Genomic DNA, 21,344 nt, shown 5'->3' with positions numbered 1-21,344 from the left:
TGATCATTTATCTTGGTAAAAAGCCCTTAGCTTCTGTGTTATTCACAGTTCTCCAGAGAGCAGACCAATGGGAAATATATCTATATCGATATATGCATATAAAATAAGAAATTAGCTCATGTGATTATGGAGGCTGAGAAATCCCACGACGTGCCATCTACAAGTTGGACTAGACTCTAAGCTCCTTGAACAAGGCAGACTAGGAAAGCTGGTGGTGTACTTCCAGTATGAGCCCGAAGGCCTGAGAACTAGAGGAGCCAATGGTGTAACTCCCAGTCTGAGTGCAGTAGATGATCAGAAGAGATGTCCCAGCTCCAGCAGTGAGGGAGAAAAGAAGGACAAATTCCTTCCTCTGCATATTGTTCTATTCAGACCCTCAATAGGTTAAATGATGCCCACTCTCATTAAAGAGGACCATCTACTTTACGGAGTAAGTACTAATCTCCTCCAGAAACACCTCACCAATACACCCAGAAATAATGTTAAACTAGACATCTGGGTACCTCTGATCCAGTCAAGGTGACACATGAAATTAACTATCATAGCTTCTATGGTAATAGCTACAGAGTTTTATGATCATCTTTCATGGTGGCTTTATTTTACAGCCATTTTCACACTTGTCTATTTAACTAACCATGTTTCCCTTAAACCTATTCTTCCCCCATTTATTATTTTTCCTGGCAAATGATACCACCTGGCCATCCAAGCCTGAAAGTGGGGAGTTCACCCAGACCTCACCATTCACTTCTATCACACCAATATGCACTGGGCTACCCAATCATTTGAATCCTGAATATTTCTTGCATCCATCTCCTTCTTCATGTTTCTCCCAGGTACACCACAGGCCTCGCTCTGTCTAAAGAAGACACTTAAAGTTGTTGGATGAAATGTTTTCTCCTTCTTCCCTCCTGGCCTCCATTAGCTTTCAAACTTCTTGAGGGTGGGCAATATGTCTTTTTTTCATTTTGTGTGTGTATGGGCATATGTGTATATGTGTTCATGTGTGTACATGTGCATGTAGGTGGGGGCTCAGATGGCAATCCAAAGAGTTCCAGGCACATAATAAGCCTCACATGGGTATTCATTTAATTAAGTACTAAAATGTCTAAGTGGAAACATTACTAAGCTAGTTTTTCAATGCTGAATTTGGAATTCTGAAGTCAAAGACGATTGCACAATATATATTTTTAGGGGAACCAAGAAGTCCTGAGGCATCTCCTTATGACTTGCCTTGGTGCCAGGTCTTTACCTTAGCATAGTTAGTTTGCTGAATGAAGGCAGGGTTTCCAGAAGGTTCCTGTTAAGAAGACGCAGTATAGGGAAGAGGCTAAACTTTTGGGTTCTGTTGTCAATAGACTTGAGTTCAAATTTCAGCTCTATCACTTTTAGCTATGAAATTATCAGTATGTCTGTAATCTTTTAGTGTCTTCATCTATAACATTGTAATGAAATATTAATATCCATGCATAAGAATGTTTTACAAATTAAATAGGATAATGTATACAGAGTGTTTAATAGAGTGGTCCATTTCCTCCATAGGAAGAGGGAAGAGCTATGTGATTGTTGTGAGTCTGGCTTGCAATGGGCCATGGCTTCCAGAGATGGGGTTGCTACACTGAAATGTAGGGATCCTAAGTCTCCAACTCTTGTCTGTCTGTCTCTGTCTCCTGCTTCCTACCTGCATCCCTTGAAGCTGAATATCCTTTCCTCCTTAGCTTCTTGCTACCAAGCTTCAAGCTTCTCAAGTCAGGGCCTGACCCCTGATACAGGCAGGGTAGCCTTCTTAAGTTTCTCCAGGAGTAACTGGAGACAGATTGAATAAGGATGGGGCCAAGTTTTTCCATTTCTCCAACGCAATTTTACAAGCAGAAATGCGATATCATATCTCGATTTCACTTGTTTCCTGGCTGAAACTGGAGAGAAGGATAAGTGAGTGACTGATATCATTTGATTTTTATAAATGTTAGTCAATATTATTACTGTTGATAAGGTGGTTATTGCCCCTGTATAAGTAGGAAAGTACATGTAGCCATTAACGCACGTGTATTCAGGAAATAAAAAACAAAAACTGTTGATGGAACTAATTATGGAAGAAAACCTTAAGCACCTGGTGCTTGGTTGGAAGGGGCATCTGTGAGCAAACTAAAGTAAAACCAAGTAAAGAAACCCAGAAGACAAAATTAATGTGCTGTAATGACCTTACTAAGGCCTGAAAGTCTCCTCTGGAGACCTTGAAAAGTAAGTAACTCACAGAAACAAGTATTCCCAATCAGTTCAGTGATGCAAACATTAATTATTCCTTAGACTGCTAAGTTTGACATACAAAGAACCAATGGGATACATTGCTGATGAAGGAGAAGGAGGTCTAATCACTTTGGAAAACAATTTGAAATTCAACTGTGCAGGTGAGCATAATAAGCATAACCCATAACCCAGGAATGGAATTCCTGGGTGTAAGAGAAACAATCATTTATAAGCACTGAGATAACAGCAAGTGACTGGAAACAACACAAATATCCACTGCTGGGAGAACAGGTAAATTGTGATGTCCACATAAGAGAATGCTGTACAATAGGAAAAAATGAATGAAGTTCAGTGACATGTAACAAAATAGATAAATATTTGACACATAATGTTATGGAGGAAAGCAAGTCACAGAAGGTTATATACAGTTGTGACCATGTAGAGTCACTATGACACTATGTATGATGTCACTTTTTATAATGCTCAACAAGAAGCACAGCTAAGGAGTATGTAGTTTAAGTCTGTAAATATAGATGGTAAAATCTTTGATAAACACAAAATTCACTCTAGTGGACCTCTGTGAGTGTGGGGAGGCAGGGAAGGGGCACATAGATATTACTAATATTCTACACCTTCATTTGTTTGGTTGGTTCATGAGTATTTAATTTATTATTATGTTTTAAAACATGGATGTATATATATATAAAAATATATATAATATATACAAAATTATATTGTATATATCATATATAATTATATTATATATTATATATATTATATATAATATTTGTATATATACAAATATATATTGGCATATACAAAAAAGTAATATGTATTATATTATATATATATATTACTTTTTTGTATACGCCAAATATTACATAGTAAAAAAATCTTTTAAAGCAATATCATGGTTTTTTGGGTGTAAAATGTTACCTCTCTTGTCTGAATAGTTCTAGGCAATAATAAGTAGGTTGGCTTATAAGTATTTATATTTATGTTTAAAAATAGTTTCTTGTTCCTTTGCTGAGATGGGCAAAGGACATTATATATGGAGTCCGTAAAAATACAATGATCATTTCTTATCATAAAAACACATTCACCAGCTAAAAATCATTTTTTTCACACTCTCAGAGAAAATGACTGGTTCAGGCCACTCACAGTGGGTCACTCTTGGAATCCCTTGCTGAGTTGGGAGGACTGCTTGAGCTCAGGAGCTTGAGACCAGCCTGGAAAACATAATGAGATTGAGACCTCGTCTCTTCTAAAAAGAAAAAAAAATTAGCAGAGCATGGTGGCATGTGCCTATAGTCCCAGCTACTCTGGAGGGTGAGGCATGAGGATCAACTGAGCCCAGGAGTTGGAGGCTGCAGCAAGCTGTGATCATCACACTCTGTCCTGGACAACAGAGTGAGACCTGGTCTCAAAAAATAAATAAATAAATAAAATGAAAACGAAAATGATTGGTCAGAGTAGAATCTATGAGTGGACTAGAAAAGACCCTGAGGTTCTGGAGTACTATACACATTATGTACATCAGAAAAAACCATTACGAGGAAGGGTGTTGGGAGGTGTTGGTCAAAGGGTACAAAATTTCAGTTAGACGGGAGGAATAAGTTCAAGACATCTATTGAATAATATGGTGACTGTGGTTAATAGCAATGTATTGTGTTTCAAAAATTGCAAAGAGAATAGATTTTTAAGTGTTCTCACTGCAAAAAAATGGTATGTGAGGTAATACATATGTTAATTAGCTTCACTGAGCCATTTCATAATGTATGCATATTTCAAAACATCATGTACACAATAAGTATATAATATTGTTGTCAATAAAAATAAGAAAGAGTAAATAAATTATAAAAATAAAATTTAAAAAATCAGAGATTTTTAAAATGAATAAACCATTATAATAAAACTCCATGGTTTTTGGCTTTTAATTTCAAAAAAAAAAAAACAACAAAAAAAAAACCAAAGTGAGTTCAGTACTCTGTAAATTCAGTAGGATTGGAAAAATATTAATTTACTTAACTTCATCCTTCTTCTCTAAGACCCTTCCCCTCAAAGCACTGAATGCTTACAGATCTTTGAAATAAAAATAGCATGAGATTTATCATGACAAAATTCAATATTATAAAACGAATCAATGACAGTTTGCTCCTCTAATGGATTTGGTTTGCAATCATCCAGAACAGAGAAAGGTTGGGAGGTCTGTTGAAGCTTATCTGATAGAACAAGGCTGAATGACATAAAATCATCTTAGAGGCTACATTTACTTCAGTAAGTGTCTTCAGAAGGAAAAAAAATACTTCACGTTTTTCAGGTCAATGAGACTTGAACCAATGAGGAAATTAACATGAAGGATGTTCAAAGAAGTTATAACAATAAAAATTAAACTCATGTTAAATTAAGATAATCCATGTCCACTTTTAAATTATATTGCTTATTTCTTCTAATCATCTTATTTACTCCTTCTTTGCCTTTTTTATTATCTTACTATCTGTGGGTACCACCCTGTTTTCATTCTAATTTCACACTTGACCAAAGAGCAGGGGAGCTGAACAAAGCTGTTGATAAGTAAATAGCAGTTTTGAAGATGGAAGCACCAGATTGTTCCTAAACAGAAGAAAACTGCAGTTGCTTTATTTGACTGAGTGGATAAAAAGGTGTCAACATATAATTTCAATTGCTCTCTAAAATAAAAAGTGCATCATCTAGGTTTGAACTTTATGCTAAGCATGACAATATTACAGTAAGTTGACAATTATCTTGTTCGTTTCCTTTGCTTTTAGAAATAATCACAGTATTCTTTCAGAAATATATTTTCTTACTGTAGTTTCAGATTTTGGATTTGCAAAGTCAAGGGGTTTTATTGATACAGAACCTACAGAATCTCTAATTCAGGAAATAAATTAGGTTCTTTGTTTCTTTACTTCTCTAATAAACTTGCTTTCACTTTACTCTATGGACTTGCCTCAAATTCTTTCTTGTGAGAGATCCAAGAACCCTCTCTTGGGGTCTGGATTGGGACCCCTTTCTGGTAACACTTTGAGATTTGAGACCTTGCTGACCTGGAAGGACTGACCCTGGAGGGAATGCCTCTGTCACAGACAGTACACAACTTGTCTTGGAGATTGCCTTTCATGTGCAAACCAACCAGTCAGAGCCCATACCCCCAACCACCTCCTCTATGGAGCTCAAGCTCTTACGATCTGGGCCACTCACTGTCCATCTGCCCTAATCACCATGGGGCCAGGCACCATGCAACTAGGGACAGCTCCTCTTTCCCAGAGCCTGCTGAAATTATTCAAACTAGCCAGTACTAAACCTGTTTGCCCTGCCTTGCCCGTTCCTTTGGCAGAAACCACAACAGTGGCTTCTGCTCCTTTTTCTTCCCTCTCCCTCTGCTTCCTGACACAGCCCCTGGGGCTTCCCTTTGTGGTGGTGAAATATGTGTCATGCCTTCCATTTCTAGGGATCTGTGAGTATAAAAAAACTTCTTTCATGACAATCATTTCCATGTCGGTTGTCTTTCTACATCTCAATAAACAAATCCCAGGTACCCTTTTAAAACACCCCACTAAACCCATTAAGATGACATCAGATTTCCTCAGGAATTGTGATCAGAAAAACCTTCACTTGGAATGAACTGGAATAGTGAGAAGGGGTATTAAACTGAGGCGCCAAGACAATAAAATTTAGTTTGAAGAAAATCTAGTTTTCTGGATGGTTGGTCTACTCACTGCTTGGAAACATTTGGGTGATTCAATTTTGTGGCTCTCCACCTCAAATTAGCCGTCATGTGGCCATCATCTCCCACAGAGTTCTTCAGGTCAGTGCAGGCCCAGCAATCACAGAAAGATATATTGCAGCCGTTCAAAGAGCAGTGCAATCATTCTGAGGCTGTACCTTACAGCTGTCACACATGTCGGGAAGCACAGAAGGCAGTTTCTGTGTATTGCTCAAGGTCATCTGGAAAACCAGTAGATGAAGCCACATGTCTCCCAGACCATTAGGCCGTCAGACATGAAATTCTCTGCATGATCTCCCCATTGAGTCACCCATGTTTGTTTGTTTGTTTTATATTTCTTTGTTTGTTGGTGTCTTTTCTTTAGTAGACAAGAACATTTTAAAGAGTTTTCAGCAGCTTCTGGTTCTAAATGTTAAGGACATTGAGGTTCTATTTATGACCACTCTCAATTGGACAAAAGGACAAGCTAGGGTTGCCTTTCACCACTTTTCATAATATTGATGTCATCTGCTCAATGTAACATTTGCCAGGTATAGGCAAATATACAACATGCACTTGGTAGAGGAGAGAGGTAGTAGCATCATGATGCTTGTCAGCTAGGAAAGAAGCACACAGAAATACTGCTTGGGAAAGGGGTGCTTAATGCCTAGGATGAATAACAAAAATCTGTAGTACTTTATAATGATGCCTTAAATCCCACAGCTCTAGCCTGCCATGAAATTCAAGCAACAAGTACTGCTTCTGCAATACTCAAGCAACCTAAATTGTACTCAGGACTAGTACACAGAACAGATAATTGATTACAAATCTGATTTGAGAGTTTTAGTATGCAAGCAAAAATTTGACTGGCTTTTGTCCTTGGTTCTTGGGAGGTAGCCTCTAAACCCTTGAAATTTTCAGAGTGATAAGAGTGTCTTTGTTATTCATGGTGGGCCTCTGAGCCGGTGCCTGATAGTTTATGCAAATGAAGTGACTCAGGAAGGGAGGGGACTGGCTATGCCAGGAAGACCAACTATGTGATTAAAGGGTGGGAGCTCCAAGCCAGGTGATATCAACTCCATCTCTGGGGAGGGCAGCAGGGGCTGGAGATCAGAGATCAACCTTCTGATCTCTTATCCAATCAGTCTTGCCTATTTAATAAAACCCCATTAAAAACTCTGGACAGTGAAGCCCAGGTTGAATGTCCATGGTTGGCAAATCGCTGCATACTGTCACATATCAATGTGCTGAGAGGGGAATGATGAAAGTTTCATGGTTGAAATCACCCTAGATTTTGCCCTATGTGTATATGTTCTAATTTGTATTTTTTTCAGTAAGACTATAATCACAAACACAGTGCTTCCAATGAGTTCTTTCTAGTCAATTATCAAACCTACAAGGGTAGTAGGAATGCCTGAATTTGTGGCCAGTTGGTCATGAGTGAGCGTGGCTCTGGGGCTCTGAATTTGTGGCTGGTGTCTGAAATGAGGACAGTCTTATGGAGGACTGTGCCCTTAACCCCTGGGTAACTAGGAGCATGCATGCCATAAAAATATGCATGTTCATTTTCTCTTACATTCCTTCTCTCCTAATTAACACTGCACATATTTTTAGGATTAAAAAAACTCCTTATTGCAGATTTATTTTATTAGTGCAGCTTTTCTACTTGTTAGGTTTCTTTCCCAAGGTGGGGTGGGTAGTTGGCACCAGTTCTCTCTGGATCAGGGAGGTGGAGGGATCCCAACATGCACATTTAATTCAGGAGGTGAAAGAGAGAGCTGCAGTAGCAGTGTGCTGGGTTCTTTCTGCCTATGTCCTAAGTCTCTTTGGACTCTGTCAACCAGGACCATGCAGCTCAGCGAAGCTGGCAGTAGCCACAGCAGTGGGAGGACAAGACACACAGGATCCAGTGGGGCAGCCTATAAGCCCATTGCAAAGAGAATACATTTCAAACAACTTTCCTGGCTGTGGGCCCTCAGGATCTGGCTTACCCCTATGGCTTTTTCTTGTCATTGTGCCTTAGGCTCCAGCCACATTAGCCTTTTTACTACTGCTCAGCTGTTCTCAGTTTGTTCTCGCTTCAGGTCCTTGGCACTTGTGTTTTCTCTCTGGGATGCTCGGCCCTAAGCAATTCACGTGGCAGTTCCTTCTCAGCATGGACAGTTTAGCTCCAATATTACTTCCTTCCAGAGGTATCCAGAGGGAGTGGAAAGGCTCCCCATCTTTCCTCTATTTAGCCCCATCCTGGAGCTACTTCCTAGCCCATTACTTGGCTTATTTTCTTTAAAGGGCTTACTGCTACAGATATTATATTATTCCTATATTTTGTTATAAATATATTTCTGTCTCCACCTCTCCCACACAAATAACCCTAACATAAGCACTGTGATGACATGGGCTTTACAGCTACCTTGTTTACACTGTGTCCTTGGCCCATGGAATAGTAACTGGCAGTTATTACTGGATGAATGGTGGAATAGCATTCACCAAGTGCTGCTCACTGTGGTAGGTGGTATGAGGCTTTTAGGAAATGCACAATACTCATTTCTTCTCTTAAGAAACTGTGGAAACTGAGTCACATACACATATGAAAGAGCAAACTGCAGTCATTTCTGTGGCTCCTTCTGCTCTCTACTAGGTCTCATTCAAAGTCCTGCACTTGGTCTTCTCTTATTCCCGGCTTTATGGATCTATCCTCTCCCAGATTTCAAATAGTATCCCTAAATCACTTTCAACCGTCTCAACAAAATAGATAAAAGGCTGGTTTCTTTTTTTATATTATTTTTAAAAGTTAATATTGTCTCTCTGGAAGCATAAAGCCCCCCGCCCAATAAAAAGAAGAATACAAAATCTGATAAAGAAATTGGTGAAAAATATATAGGAAAATAAGACTTAGGGCTCCCGAATTCACTAAAACTACATTATGAAATATAAGGCCATCTTAACTACAGGAAAAAGACTTATGGAGCAATTATTTTCTCATATTTTTCTAAGGGCAAAGTTTTAGTAGGATTTTATCTGATGTGATTGACATATTTTAAAGTATAGTTGAATCTGTATAATAATATGTGAAACTTACAGGAAATGTGATAGTATATATACAATATGTCATAATTTCACTGTCTTGTGAAAGACAGAAAAAATACCATTGGTTGGTTGCCTGTCTCAGAAGAAAAAATACAGAAAGCAAGTAATTTAAATGAGTTACAATTTATCCAATTTAGAATCAAATAAAAATGCCATGGGCTCAGCGCCAAGGATTATTCTTGGATTGGAATTTGTTCAACACCCTAAATTTAACTAGCTGCGATCCCTTTTAAACTGCCATCCAATACAGTCTTTTGAAACAAAGAATGTGCTTTTAAAGGGAAATTGGCATTCCACCTGAATATTTATTCTCTAGATAAACACACGCAGTCTTTTGCAACACACTCAACGTATACTAGGGAAGGTACAGGTCACAGTTAGAGATGACACACACAAGTAGTCATGTGTTTTCTCTCTGGGCCATAACTGCCTAGAATATTGCCACATTTATAACTCGATTATGGACAGGCAACTTTAGTGTCTAACATTTCATAAGGAATTGTCTTAATGTTTCTTAAAGTCATAGTATACTACAGCTAGAAAATATCTTTCAGAATGTTTAGCTGCAATTCAAGGTCCTCATTTTATATATGAACAGGCTGAGGCCATCATTCTAATACTAGTAAGTGACATATCCATGGTTTCACCTGGAGCCCATGTCCTCTTTCTTTTATTTATGGATGTAGACTGCACTTCATTAAAAATAAAATATGACTAAGAGTCGTCATCTGCCTGAAAGGTGCTCATGGCTGAGTGAGACATAGCCCATACCATGTTTCTAGTCCTGGGAACATATGGGACAGAGCTGGTATAGATTCCACCCCAACCCCAATGGCAACATTTATAAATGCTGTTAAAGTGTAGCTATCATTTTTTAAAAATACAGAGCCAAGTCTGAAAGAAGAATTTATCGTCAGACGTCATGGGTAAAGTCATAGGCTGACTGCAGGATCCCGTGCATTGGCTCTGGCCCACTCTGCCAAGGATGGGAGATGTGAGATGTGAGTGGAAGCTGCAATGAAGAATGCTGCAGAAAGCCAGGTCTCTGGAGAAAATGCCCCTTCCACGCACAGGAGGACAGGAAACGTTCTTCTGATACAAGTACCTAAGGGGATGAGGAGGTTGATCACCACATTATTTGTGGTGTGGGAAGTTAGAGGCCACCTGGATGCCCATAGCTGGCATGAGGGATCAGCCAGCCAGAGAGGCAGCAGGCCAGCGTATTCTGCCTGTGGCTCTGAAATGTGGTGAAGTGGGAGGTGTCTCCAGTGATAAATAGAAATCCCAAGGCTGCACCAGCCATGGGTGTAAAGTCTTAATTTATACCACCCTTATGGTATTAGGAATCCTAAGCAAAGACAACCCCTACCTAGCTAAACTGTTTTTCAAGTGAGAAAGCAATATTATAAACATGTTCAGAAAAAGACTACACGAATTTTTACAGACCTGTGCTGAATTACTAAAGAATGTACTTCAAGAAGGAGAAACTTCTACTCAGATGGAAAGAATGGGATTCAAAGATCAATGGTGAACAAATACAGTTTTAAACTATGGCAAAATCTAAAGAAGCCTTAATTGAAACCATAACAATATAATGTAAAAACAGGGTAGCAGAAATATACACAATTTGAAATATAAGCACATGTTGGTTGATGGGCATTTAGGCTGGTTCCATATTTTTGCAACTGCAAATTGTTCTGCTATAAACATGCACATGCAAGTGTCTTTTTCATACAGTGACTTATTTTCCTCTGGGTAGATACCCAATAGTGGGATTGCTAGATCAAATGGTAGTTCTACTTTCAGATCTTTAAGGAATCTCCATACTATTTTCCATAGTGGTTGTACTAGTTTAAATTCCCACCAGCAGTGTAGAAAGTGTTCCCTTTTCACCACATCCATACCAACATCTATTATTTTTTGATTTTCTAATTATGGCCATTTTTGCAAGAGTAAGGTGGTATGGCATTGTGGTTTAATACTACTCAGCCATAAAAAAGAACAAAATAATGGCATTTGCAGCAACCTGGATGGAATTGGAGACCATTATTCTAATTGAAGTAAGTCAGGAATGGAAAACCAAATGTCATATGCTCTCACTTACCAGTGGGAGCTAAGATATGAGGATGCAAAGGCATAAAAATGATACAATGGACTTTGGGACAAGGGGGAAGAGTGAGGGGGTGGAATGAGGAATAAAAGACTACACACTGTGTGCAGTGTACATTGCTTGGGTGATGAGTGCACCAAAATCTTAGAAATAACACCTAAAGAACTTATCCATGCAATCAAACACTACCTGTTCCTTCAAATCTATTGAAATAATAATAATAAGAAAAGAAATATATGCACAGATAAGAGAGTCACTAATTCTACCTGGGCAGTAAAGAAAGAGTTGATTTTGAACTGAGTATCAAAGGCTGAGTAAGAACTTAGCAGGTAACAGGGCAGAAGGAGATTTTCAAAGGTAAGGCTCCTAAGTACAAAGGTACATGGAACATTCTAGAAACTGCAGGTAGTTCACAAGCCAGTGCTCGTGGGGAAGTGGCAGAATACAAGGCTGGAAGGCAGGCTCCAAATCTGGTCTTCTTCCTTTCAAATCAATGTGTTCAGAATCAGCTTCTATGAAATGTCAGATTACAATCAAAAAGGGATATATAGAAAACACATGAAATTAAAACATAATGGAAAGAGAAAACTCTTCATTTTAGTAATCAACAGTATTTCGGTATTTCAGTTCACAGTTTGAAAATGGATCTGAAAAGTAAACATGTCTTGAGAATAGAGAAATACAGATTACAAACTGTGAGACATCTAAGACATCAATTAAAATACCCAAAGTTACAATATTCAGGATGTAAACCATGGAACAATTTATAATTCATTTTTCTCTTGCTGCAAATCTCTACCTGTCAATATTAAAAAATAGTTAAGTCACATAAATTTCAAAATGCTTGATTGTAGTTGGAAGAATTGACAAATATAAGATCTTGTGAGAAGAAAGGTCAGTATTTAGGATTTAAAGATAGGCTGAGGGATTTTCTTTGGCTGTAATTCAGACTAAAGCATTCAAAGGAGAGTTCAGGGCTGGAAGCACATTGTGAAGAAAGTCAAGATTGTATTTCTCCATCTAAGCCTTTTCCTGCTCTGCCCCTTCCTTTTGGCAGCCATTTGTTCATGGGCCTCTCATCTTTTCCCCATGAGAACTTGCTCTTTGGGAAGGGTTTTATAAGCCTATTCATATGAGATATGAATGACTACTATGGCTTAATAGGGTATCTTCCTCTGCCATATTCACTTTTTAGTAGGGGACAGTGGCCTCAATTTCTTATTGAAGAACTTGAAGCCTTAGCCAGTTACGTTGAGAGCTGAATCTTGATCTGAGGCATTCCAAGAGCCCTACTGTTCAACACATGGGTCCCTGTTTATATCCCCTAGCCATAAATCTTGTTCTGAATCTGTTACAGGAATGATCACCTCATTTTCTCTTCTGGGTCAGTGTCAATATGTCAATAAAAACAGTACCTGTTTGATATGACACAATTTCAAACATCATACAAATAATTCAACTTGATCTGAATTTAACTACCATTGAATATTAGCCAGGCTCAAAGAATATCAATATCAAGCAAATTTAGAAAGAAGATACAACACATACGTTCACAAGGAAGTATTTTTTTTCTTAACAGACAGACTCTGAAACTCTCAGAAGAGTATTTACAAAATGCTATTCATTACATCATTATACTAGGCCCAAAGTATAGCTATCTAGAAGCAGTTGTACTGTTCCAATAAATCAATCAGCAAATATTCACTAAATGTCTGTTTTGTGTACAGTATTGTACATGGCACAACTTTATGTGGTTTCTCTCTTCTGTTTAGTTAGAAAGTTAGAATTCCCATCAAACAATCAGAACAAAAAATAAAAGGGTGAACAATATGGTACTACTGATAGAACTGATGATTGAGTACCCTTTCTATTTCTTCCAAAGCTTCCTTTGATCTACAGGACAAAGTCCAAATCTTTTGGCATGTTTTAGGGAATCCTTTTTCTTGGTCTCTATTTATTTTTCCAGGCTCATCTTCTAGCACATTCTTCTATAAACTCAAAGCCCCAGCCATACCAAACCATATGTAATTTTCCAGATTTATCATCGTTTTTGCACCTCCAGACCATTCCTTCTGCTTGAAATGCACTTCCACTCGCTTTTGCTTAATTCCTACATGTTTCTTTAAAAGTTTTCTCCTCTAAGAAGTCTTCTCTATTCCCTAAAAGGTTTTGTGCCCTCCAATTTGTTTCTATTGTATCTATGTCTTTAACCCTATGCCAGCAATTTCACAAAGTATTGAAAAACTTCTCTACTCGTCTAATTCCCCTGTCACCATAGTTTTCAAAAAGTGAGTAAGGATCCATACCTCATTGATATTTTTGTCCCCAGTGCCTAATGTGAAACCGTGGCACATAATAGGTGTTCAATAAATATTTATTAAATGAATTCCAGTTCTCGGGGGTGGGGGTTGGGAGGAGACAGATGGTAGGCAGATTTTCTTCCAGAGGGTTGAAATATTTGACTATAAAAGAAGAAACTTTGAGTGAGAACATAGTAGGTCAGAGTGATTATGGGGTGATATCTATGAAACCATATAGGATATAGGTGAGATAAACAGATACACTGAAACCCACAATATATCCTAAAGCCAGGATCAGTCACTTGTTACTTGAAAGGTAAATTCAAAGAGAAAGAAAAGAATCTTTTAATCCTAATAAATGGTATAGTTGGAATATGTAAATAATTTTTTTAAAAACCTATTAAACTTGATGTCAAAATGAAAACTACATCCTATGTCAAAATGTTCCCAGATGCCCCTATTGAAGAAAAACTCTGGCTAGAAGATAGATGTTACTTAATATGATAAAACTCTTTTAAACTTAACTCTTGGTTCAGTGTATTATTATCTTGCCAGGGATGCTCAAACTTGACCCTCTGTGCCCTGGTACTGAGCTGCATTTTGCCAGAACCACCAAGTCTCAGCAACCAATTAATCTTAATCACCACATGCCAACTGTGTGCAGTTACAGCAGGACAGCAAGGAGTGGAGTAGAGATGACTTGCTTTTCTCCCAGGGATTGGCAGAGGGCATCAAGGGCTTTATGTGGCTCCCCACATTAATGCATTGGCATATTCAGTGACACATAGCCGGGGCTGGCTCTGAAGGATAGACGCAAACACTGGAGAGAGCTGAGAAGGAGGAAACAAACTTGGGGCTGGCAGTTGCTATCTTAGAAGACAACTTAGACAACAGTCCTTTAAGCATCAGGAAACAATCTTAGAAGTCACTTTTGATAGAATGAGCACTCAGGTTATGATTTGGTGATCAATTCCCAGAGGGGCTTCCTGCCTACAGTCAGAGTTCAGGGTAAGTTAAAGGTCGGCACAAACTTCTAATAAAAGCAGAAAGATACATGTTTGTAGTTCAGAAATTGTAGGTAGCCATTTCCTCTAAAATGAGGGCTCTTAACCTTTCTTGAGGTGTCATGGAGCCTCTGAGAAGTTGGTGGACATTATGGATCATCTTCCAGGAGAAAATACACAATTCTTACATATAACAGAGCATTGGCTACCCAAACCCCATCTCTCAGAGAGGCCCTCAAGTTGAGAACTCTTTTAAAGAATCTCTGAAAACTATATTGGTTTAGAGTATGTCAATTTGTGTAAACGGGTATATTTTTGATATAAATAGTCTGGAAATTCTTGGATTATACATGCATGGTGCAAGGCTAAAGTGGGTCTAGGGCCACCATTTCCAAAATGAGGAAAATCCTGCATCTCATTTGGATATTTTTTTAGTGGTACCTGATAGAGGTGTTTCTAAATTATAGTAGAAATGCCATCAAAACTAGGGAATCTGAAAAACAAATGTTAGGAGTTAAAGGCTCTGTAACCATGAAGAACTGAGTTTTGTGTATTCTTCTGAGGAGAAGGAATGCAGACTATTGTCTGTTCTTCAACCTACAGCAAGACAGTCCTCCTCAACTGTTGCCCCAGTCCACCCCATTGCCACGTCCAACTACTAGTTAGTACTAATAAATTTAGTAATCTTCCCATCTTACCGCAGAGGACTCAATTTGCAACTCAATACCTCAATCATGATGTCTTCCATGCTGCCATGAAGTTTGCCAATTATAATAGCTGAAACTAAACATTGAATCTGGCTATGTACTAGAAAACATCACAGAAGGATCTACATTCTCTTTAAATACAACTATTGAGAACATTTATCTTCAACTAATTTGCATTAATGAACACTGCTAAGTAGCCATGTTTACAAGCTGTGAAGGTGTAACCTTGTCCCACAGTAACTCTGAATTGAAGCCAAGATTTTAATCAGAACAGGCTATCAATTTTGCCCAAAGAAGCATTTATTGCTTAATATAGTTGGTAAAATCCAGATATGATCAATCACAACTAATGGTCCTTAGTTGGAAGGCAAGTACATTGCTGTTTATTTAGTTCAGAAATTATTTGCAAACTAAACTATAATCCAAGCTTATGTTAAAAAATCAGAACTATCATTAGACTCTTTCACAAAGCTTATTTTATGCTTAAATATCCTGAGAAAGAGTATTTTTTACTAACTGTAAATTTTCAGTCACCTTGGTTTCTTGTGTGCCTAATAATACAAACAAAAACAACCATAACAAAAGAGCAAAAAAAAAAAATAGCAACTACATTTCAATGCTGCACAATTGTAAAGCACAATTATAAATTATTTAGGTTAACATGTAACATACATAAATGTATATACAAGGATAGAAAAATATTTATATATGTATATTCTTTCAAGGAGCATATCTTCCAAGCAATCACCAGTACATTTACTACAGCAGGAATAATATTAAATTTCTCAGCAGTTGAGGTCCGCTGCAGTAGAGTGCTCCCAAAGAAATCTCTGACATCATTCCAAAATAACTAATCACATGTTATGTTAACTTGGCTCAGTTTTTACCATTGTATTTACCTTTATTTCAATTTCAGTTATAAACTTTAGGTTAATTTAGAATGCATTATCCTTGTATCTTGTTAGATAGAGACTGAAGCGGGGGTGCTGAAAGAGTTGGCTGGAAGGTAGGGGATAATAAGAAATGAATTTGAAAACCAAGCAAACTCTTCTTTTGTTTGCTTCAAACATGGCATCTTGTCAAACAAATGTAAGGAGAATCCATGGTTGAGTAATGAATGAACATTAACACTTGTCATGGATTCTTAAGACGAGTTAATCATTTTAGGTTTCAACTAATGAACCTTGGAAACTGATTATCTTGTTGAATTTTACTAATAACAACTCTTGGGATAAAACCAAGGTAGGAGACAAGTCCTCCAGTTCTCCATCGTCAAAATAGAATAATATATTTCTGGTCCACAACCTCATATCCAAACATCTTGGGGCCAGATATATTTTAGATTTCAAGCTTTTTTTTTTAAATGATAGAGGGACAATAGGTTATATATATTGAATTTGTATAATATGGCCATCAGAGAATCCAAATCATTTATATTTTTTCAGTGAAATGTTTCAATTCACATTAAGTTGTGTAATTATACAATAAGTAAAGGCTATTAGTAGCCTCACATCAGTTCAGGCCAAGTTTTGCTGTCAAGTGAGTTTTGGTGTAAAACTTGAGAAATATTTCAGTTTTCAGTGTTGTTGGAATTTTGGAATCACAGATTAAAATCTTGTGGGCCTGCAAAAATATATGGAAATTGTTTCCATACCGTATTCTCTAAGCAGTAGCAATCATCAAACAACTTGTCTATCAACTTGTAGTTTGATTTACTGGGAAGCTATAATTTATATGAAAGATGAAATTTGGCCCACTCTGCCCAGTTTCTGCGATACATCTTAACAACATCCATTAACAGCAATCTTGTTGGATCTGAACAAATCAAAAGACTAAGGGACTGGCAATCCATTTAGTAAAAGACTGCTATGCATACTGTGTCTATTACATGCATATTCCTACACAAACTGTGCCCTACTGCTCCCAAAAGACAGACCAGGATTGTTCTTCTTCTTAATATACTAAGCAAATAAAATTAGCTAGTCCAATATGTATTAATACCTGGAGAGAACATACAGAATAGAAAGGTCAGCCTTGATGAAGTAGGAATGAGCTTCAGTGTCTGAATTTTTGCCGATTGTACTAGATGACATTACCACACAGTAAAGTTTGAGAATCACTGATCTAGACAATACCTTGTTACATTATCACCTCAGCTGTTTTTGCATGTGAGACCTTTACCCGAGCTGAGTATCAAGGGTGATGTACAGATTTCTTGCGGGGAAATAGGAAATTATTGCCATTTTTTTTGGTAAGATACACAATGACTTTTATGAGCAAAATAATGTCTTTCTGGGAAATGATGTGATTCTAATCAAAGTACTTTTAAAAGCCTCAATACTTATCTATAGCAAAGCACAAGAAATAATAAAAAAAAGTCACTTCCTGGTGACCAATTCTTATTTGTACAATTTGTGTTAAATAATGGAACTTCACTCCTGGATGCCATTTAGAATTGTGAAGACGGTGGATTGGGGAGTCTGTGATTTAAATAGCTGGGTTGGTATAAAGTGACTATAATTTGACTATGAATCATGGTGATGCTCACAGGAAGATTGTGACAAGGAGACAAAGGGGCCCTGCTTTCCATTATAAACCACTGAATTGCCTTCAGATAAATGCATCTTGTCCTTTGAGTGGAAGCCACCTATCAAATTCCCCCTGCAGCCTGTTTTGTTCATAGTAATGAAAACGCACTTCTTACAGTACAAGCTGCCGAATTCATTAGCACAAGCCTGCATGGACCACCTGCCTGGCCCTGGTGGGGAAGAACAAGGGAGAAAAGAGTTCAGAGTTTTCTGAAATGGCTGACCTTTATCTGAAGCTGTCGAAAATCTTCCTTGTTATTATGAGGTGCTCCATGCACCATGCAGCCAGGTAATCCCCTAGAGCACGTCTTCACTGACTGACACTGATTTCCTCTTTCAAGACGTAGTGTTCAGTCTACTTGGTATTGAAGACATTCAGGGGGCATGGCAATGAGCCTCATTCAGCTTTCTTCTCCCGGGGAATATTCATTCATGGTTACCAGAGACACACCTGGTATCGTATTATGGATCCTGTAGTTCAGGCGTCATAGTAGCATCCAGCTTCTTAAAAATACCTTTTCAGTGTGTCAATACAGGTAGGGAAGATTTCAGACAATTCTTTAAAAAATATTTAAAAGCACCAAATGACACAGATGTCCTCCCTTTATATCCAACAGTTTGTAACTTCATATACATGCTCTTTGGAAAGAACTAGGGGATTCTAAGTGAACCAGTCTGAGTGATAATAATGGGGACATATTTTGAAATGGTTGAAGTCAAAGTTTCATTATAAGAATAAAGACAATAGGCTGCTGGGATGTACTGATGTTGGCTCTTATTTTCACCAAAGCTGCCTGTACAGGTTGAGCCTAGGCTGACAATATGAAGCACCTTTGAAATGATAATGCTGTGTTTGTAGTCTTTATGGATAAAATACCGTTACACTGAATCTATGCTACAGTTGATAATGAGACTGCTTTTACATCTTAAAGGAGTATCTAATTACTAATATAAATGTTTTCTATTCCAGATTGCAGATGATAAATACTCCGTAAGCAATCTTCCAAATCAGCTCAGCAGCCTGGGAGACGATTGAGGAGAGTTGCCTTTAAGAAAAAGCAGCATCTATAAAAAGAGCTGGATCAAAAGTAGACGCCCGATCACACACCCACTGTGGCTGGGCTGACAAAAATAGCCACTTGCACAGATTTAGTTCACTTCAATGTCAGGCTTCCCCCTCCAACCACCCTGTCCCCCTTCCCACCTCCAAGAATTCAGTGCTCATAGCAGGTGCCTTCCGAGTCATCCACACCAAACGGGGGGCTACATCAAAAATCAGGGGCTACAATCAGAAACTGCAGCTTGGGGTGATCAGCTCAGAACACTCCTCTTCCTTGCTGTCCTAACGACTACCTTCCTGGAAAGGGATGGTTTTGGAGTGTCAACATGTAGAACATGTCTACAGGGTGCCGGGTACCATTCTGAATGCTTTACAGGCAAAACTTCATTGAGTCTGCTGACAGTCCTATATTACAGTCATTATAATCCCTGCTTTACAGATGAGGAAATGATGACTCAGATAAATCACATATTCAAGGGCATATATTTAATTAGTGGTAGAGTAGACTCTGAACCCAGATCTGATTGCAGAACCCATGCTTTCACCCATTATGCTAGGCTGCCTCCTGTTTGGTCAAGAATGGAAGACTCATTGCATGTCCTGGTTGAAAGTCCATCCTGGTTGAGGTGGAGTATGTCAATTATCTACACTTTGTCTCACCAAAGCCAAAGTCAAAATTCTTGAATCTAGTTGGCTTGTATTTTAAAAAGACAATGTAAGTGAAAAGTAAATAAAGGGATATCATTTTGCTAAATCTTTATTTGAAAACTGAACACACTATGTGAACACATAGCTTAAAGGTGATAAATGAAGTTACAACTCTTAGTATAACATCTGCTCAGACTAAATAACAATAACCTTCACGTTTGTATGACCTTCCCTCCTTCTGTTCTACTTTCTTCCATACCTTCTCTCTATTTTCCCCTCCTTACTCCCTTTCTCTTACATGTTAATTTATCTTTTCATGCATTTATCTGTTCTGTTTTTTTTTTTAGCATCTTCAACACATCAGGCAGAGTGCTAGGTGCTGGAGATGCAAAGATAAAATTACTACTCTCAAAGTGCTTACATTTTAGTTGGGGAGAGAGGTGAGCCACAGGTAAGTGATAGTGCAGGATGATATACTTTATGACAGGGACATCTCATGGAGTACCATCATAGCACCAGGGCTGAGTAGGCAGCCTAGTCTTAGAGAGGTACAAGATGCTCTTACACATCTTATTTTTAATATAATGCCTTATACTTAATATTAATCTCAAGCATGGTTGAAAAACAGTTAATAGATGGAAGTCATGCTTATGCAACCTACTCCTTTCCCCAAGTCCACAGGATCACCAGCAATGGCTGAAACATCTCAGTTGCTGTAAATATGGGCTGGCTAGGTGCTTCTAAGTACTTTCTTAGCTCATCAATTCTTGCAGTCAAAAATCCTTTGAAAAACAAATCTAGCTATCAACTAATATCTCAATTCTGTTAGTCACATATTCTTGCAATGTCTAAATGTTCAAAGGATAGAAAGTGACCAGCACAATGTTGCCAGACATTTCCTAGAAGCCTGTGGGCTGCCTCTCAGCAGCAGAGTCAGGGAGGAGTGAAGACTCACTACACCACTACAGCTTGTCACACAAGCGGGCTCTGCCTCACATTCACTTGTAAAGTTGGAGTTTGAGTTGACAGACCGATAAACTGTAGTGCTCACAGGTTCTAGCTAAGGAGTAGCACCTTCCAACTAAAGACCTGCAGCTAGACATATAATAAGCTGCCTCTGAATAGACAACTGTACAGACAAGTAAGAAAGCTACTATGGCAGACAGCTCAACTCCCAAGGCCAACAGAATAAAAGAAAACATATTCTGTGGGAAATAAACAAAACACCCTGTACCAGATAGAATCCACTTGGCTGCAGTGACTTCCAACAGAGGCTTCCTCTTGGCATCTGAAGGAGGAGATTCAGCAGGGAACTCACATCTAACTGTGTAGAAACCTTTTCTATTCTACAAAGATTAATTAGCTAAACTCATGGGTGCTACCAGATGCCACATATGACTTCAGCAGAGACAATCTTTAGGCAGCTGGTTCCTAGGAAACCAAAGTGGCCCCAGACTCACAAGACTGAAATTGGCAAAGATCTAGCTTACCAGGCATGACATCAAAGAATCAGAATTTCTAAAATCAATTATCTGTACAAACATAGAACACTTTCCATTAGAAGTTCTGTGACATATATTGATTTATGATCTGTTTTTCTCTCCTCTTCATTTCTCATTGTTGTCCTGAGAGGAGTGGCCTTAGCATTCCACATTGCCTGAGAGGCAACGGAAGCTGAGAAAGGTCAAATGATATGTTCACACTCACATTGAACACTGCCTCTCACTTGTGACTAAGCGCCACACTGCATCACAGTATTTATCCTTGAGGAAGTGGCCTTGCCCAAAGCAGCTCCTAAACTAGTAACTTTTATATGAAGCTGCTGTCTTCTTGTCTGTGAAATATTTTTAAAAGCACAGTAACACTTGG

General features: G+C 38.2%; 1 protein-coding gene and 2 long non-coding RNA genes across 3 annotated transcripts in view; 1 reads left to right on the top strand and 2 right to left on the bottom strand.

The window, feature by feature from the left end:
* Positions 1 to 21,344, bottom strand: part of KCNB2 (potassium voltage-gated channel subfamily B member 2) — a 401,125-nt gene that overhangs the window by 185,539 nt on the left and 194,242 nt on the right. The window lies entirely within an intron of this gene.
* On the top strand, positions 348 to 3,440 carry LOC124901963 (uncharacterized). Its single transcript, XR_007060964.1, has 3 exons — positions 348 to 430; positions 2,305 to 2,405; positions 3,379 to 3,440. It is a non-coding gene; the product is annotated as an uncharacterized LOC124901963 (long non-coding RNA).
* On the bottom strand, positions 968 to 20,766 carry LOC101926908 (uncharacterized). Its single transcript, NR_110656.1, has 3 exons — positions 20,710 to 20,766; positions 3,406 to 3,473; positions 968 to 2,564 (listed from the first exon to the last, which is right to left on the bottom strand). It is a non-coding gene; the product is annotated as an uncharacterized LOC101926908 (long non-coding RNA).

The sequence above is a fragment of the Homo sapiens genome, chromosome 8 (genome assembly GCF_000001405.40).
Source record: "Homo sapiens chromosome 8, GRCh38.p14 Primary Assembly".
Lineage (NCBI taxonomy): Eukaryota > Metazoa > Chordata > Mammalia > Primates > Hominidae > Homo > Homo sapiens.
The sequence above is the reverse complement of the archived record's forward strand: the minus strand, read 5'-3'. Positions and strand labels throughout refer to the sequence as shown.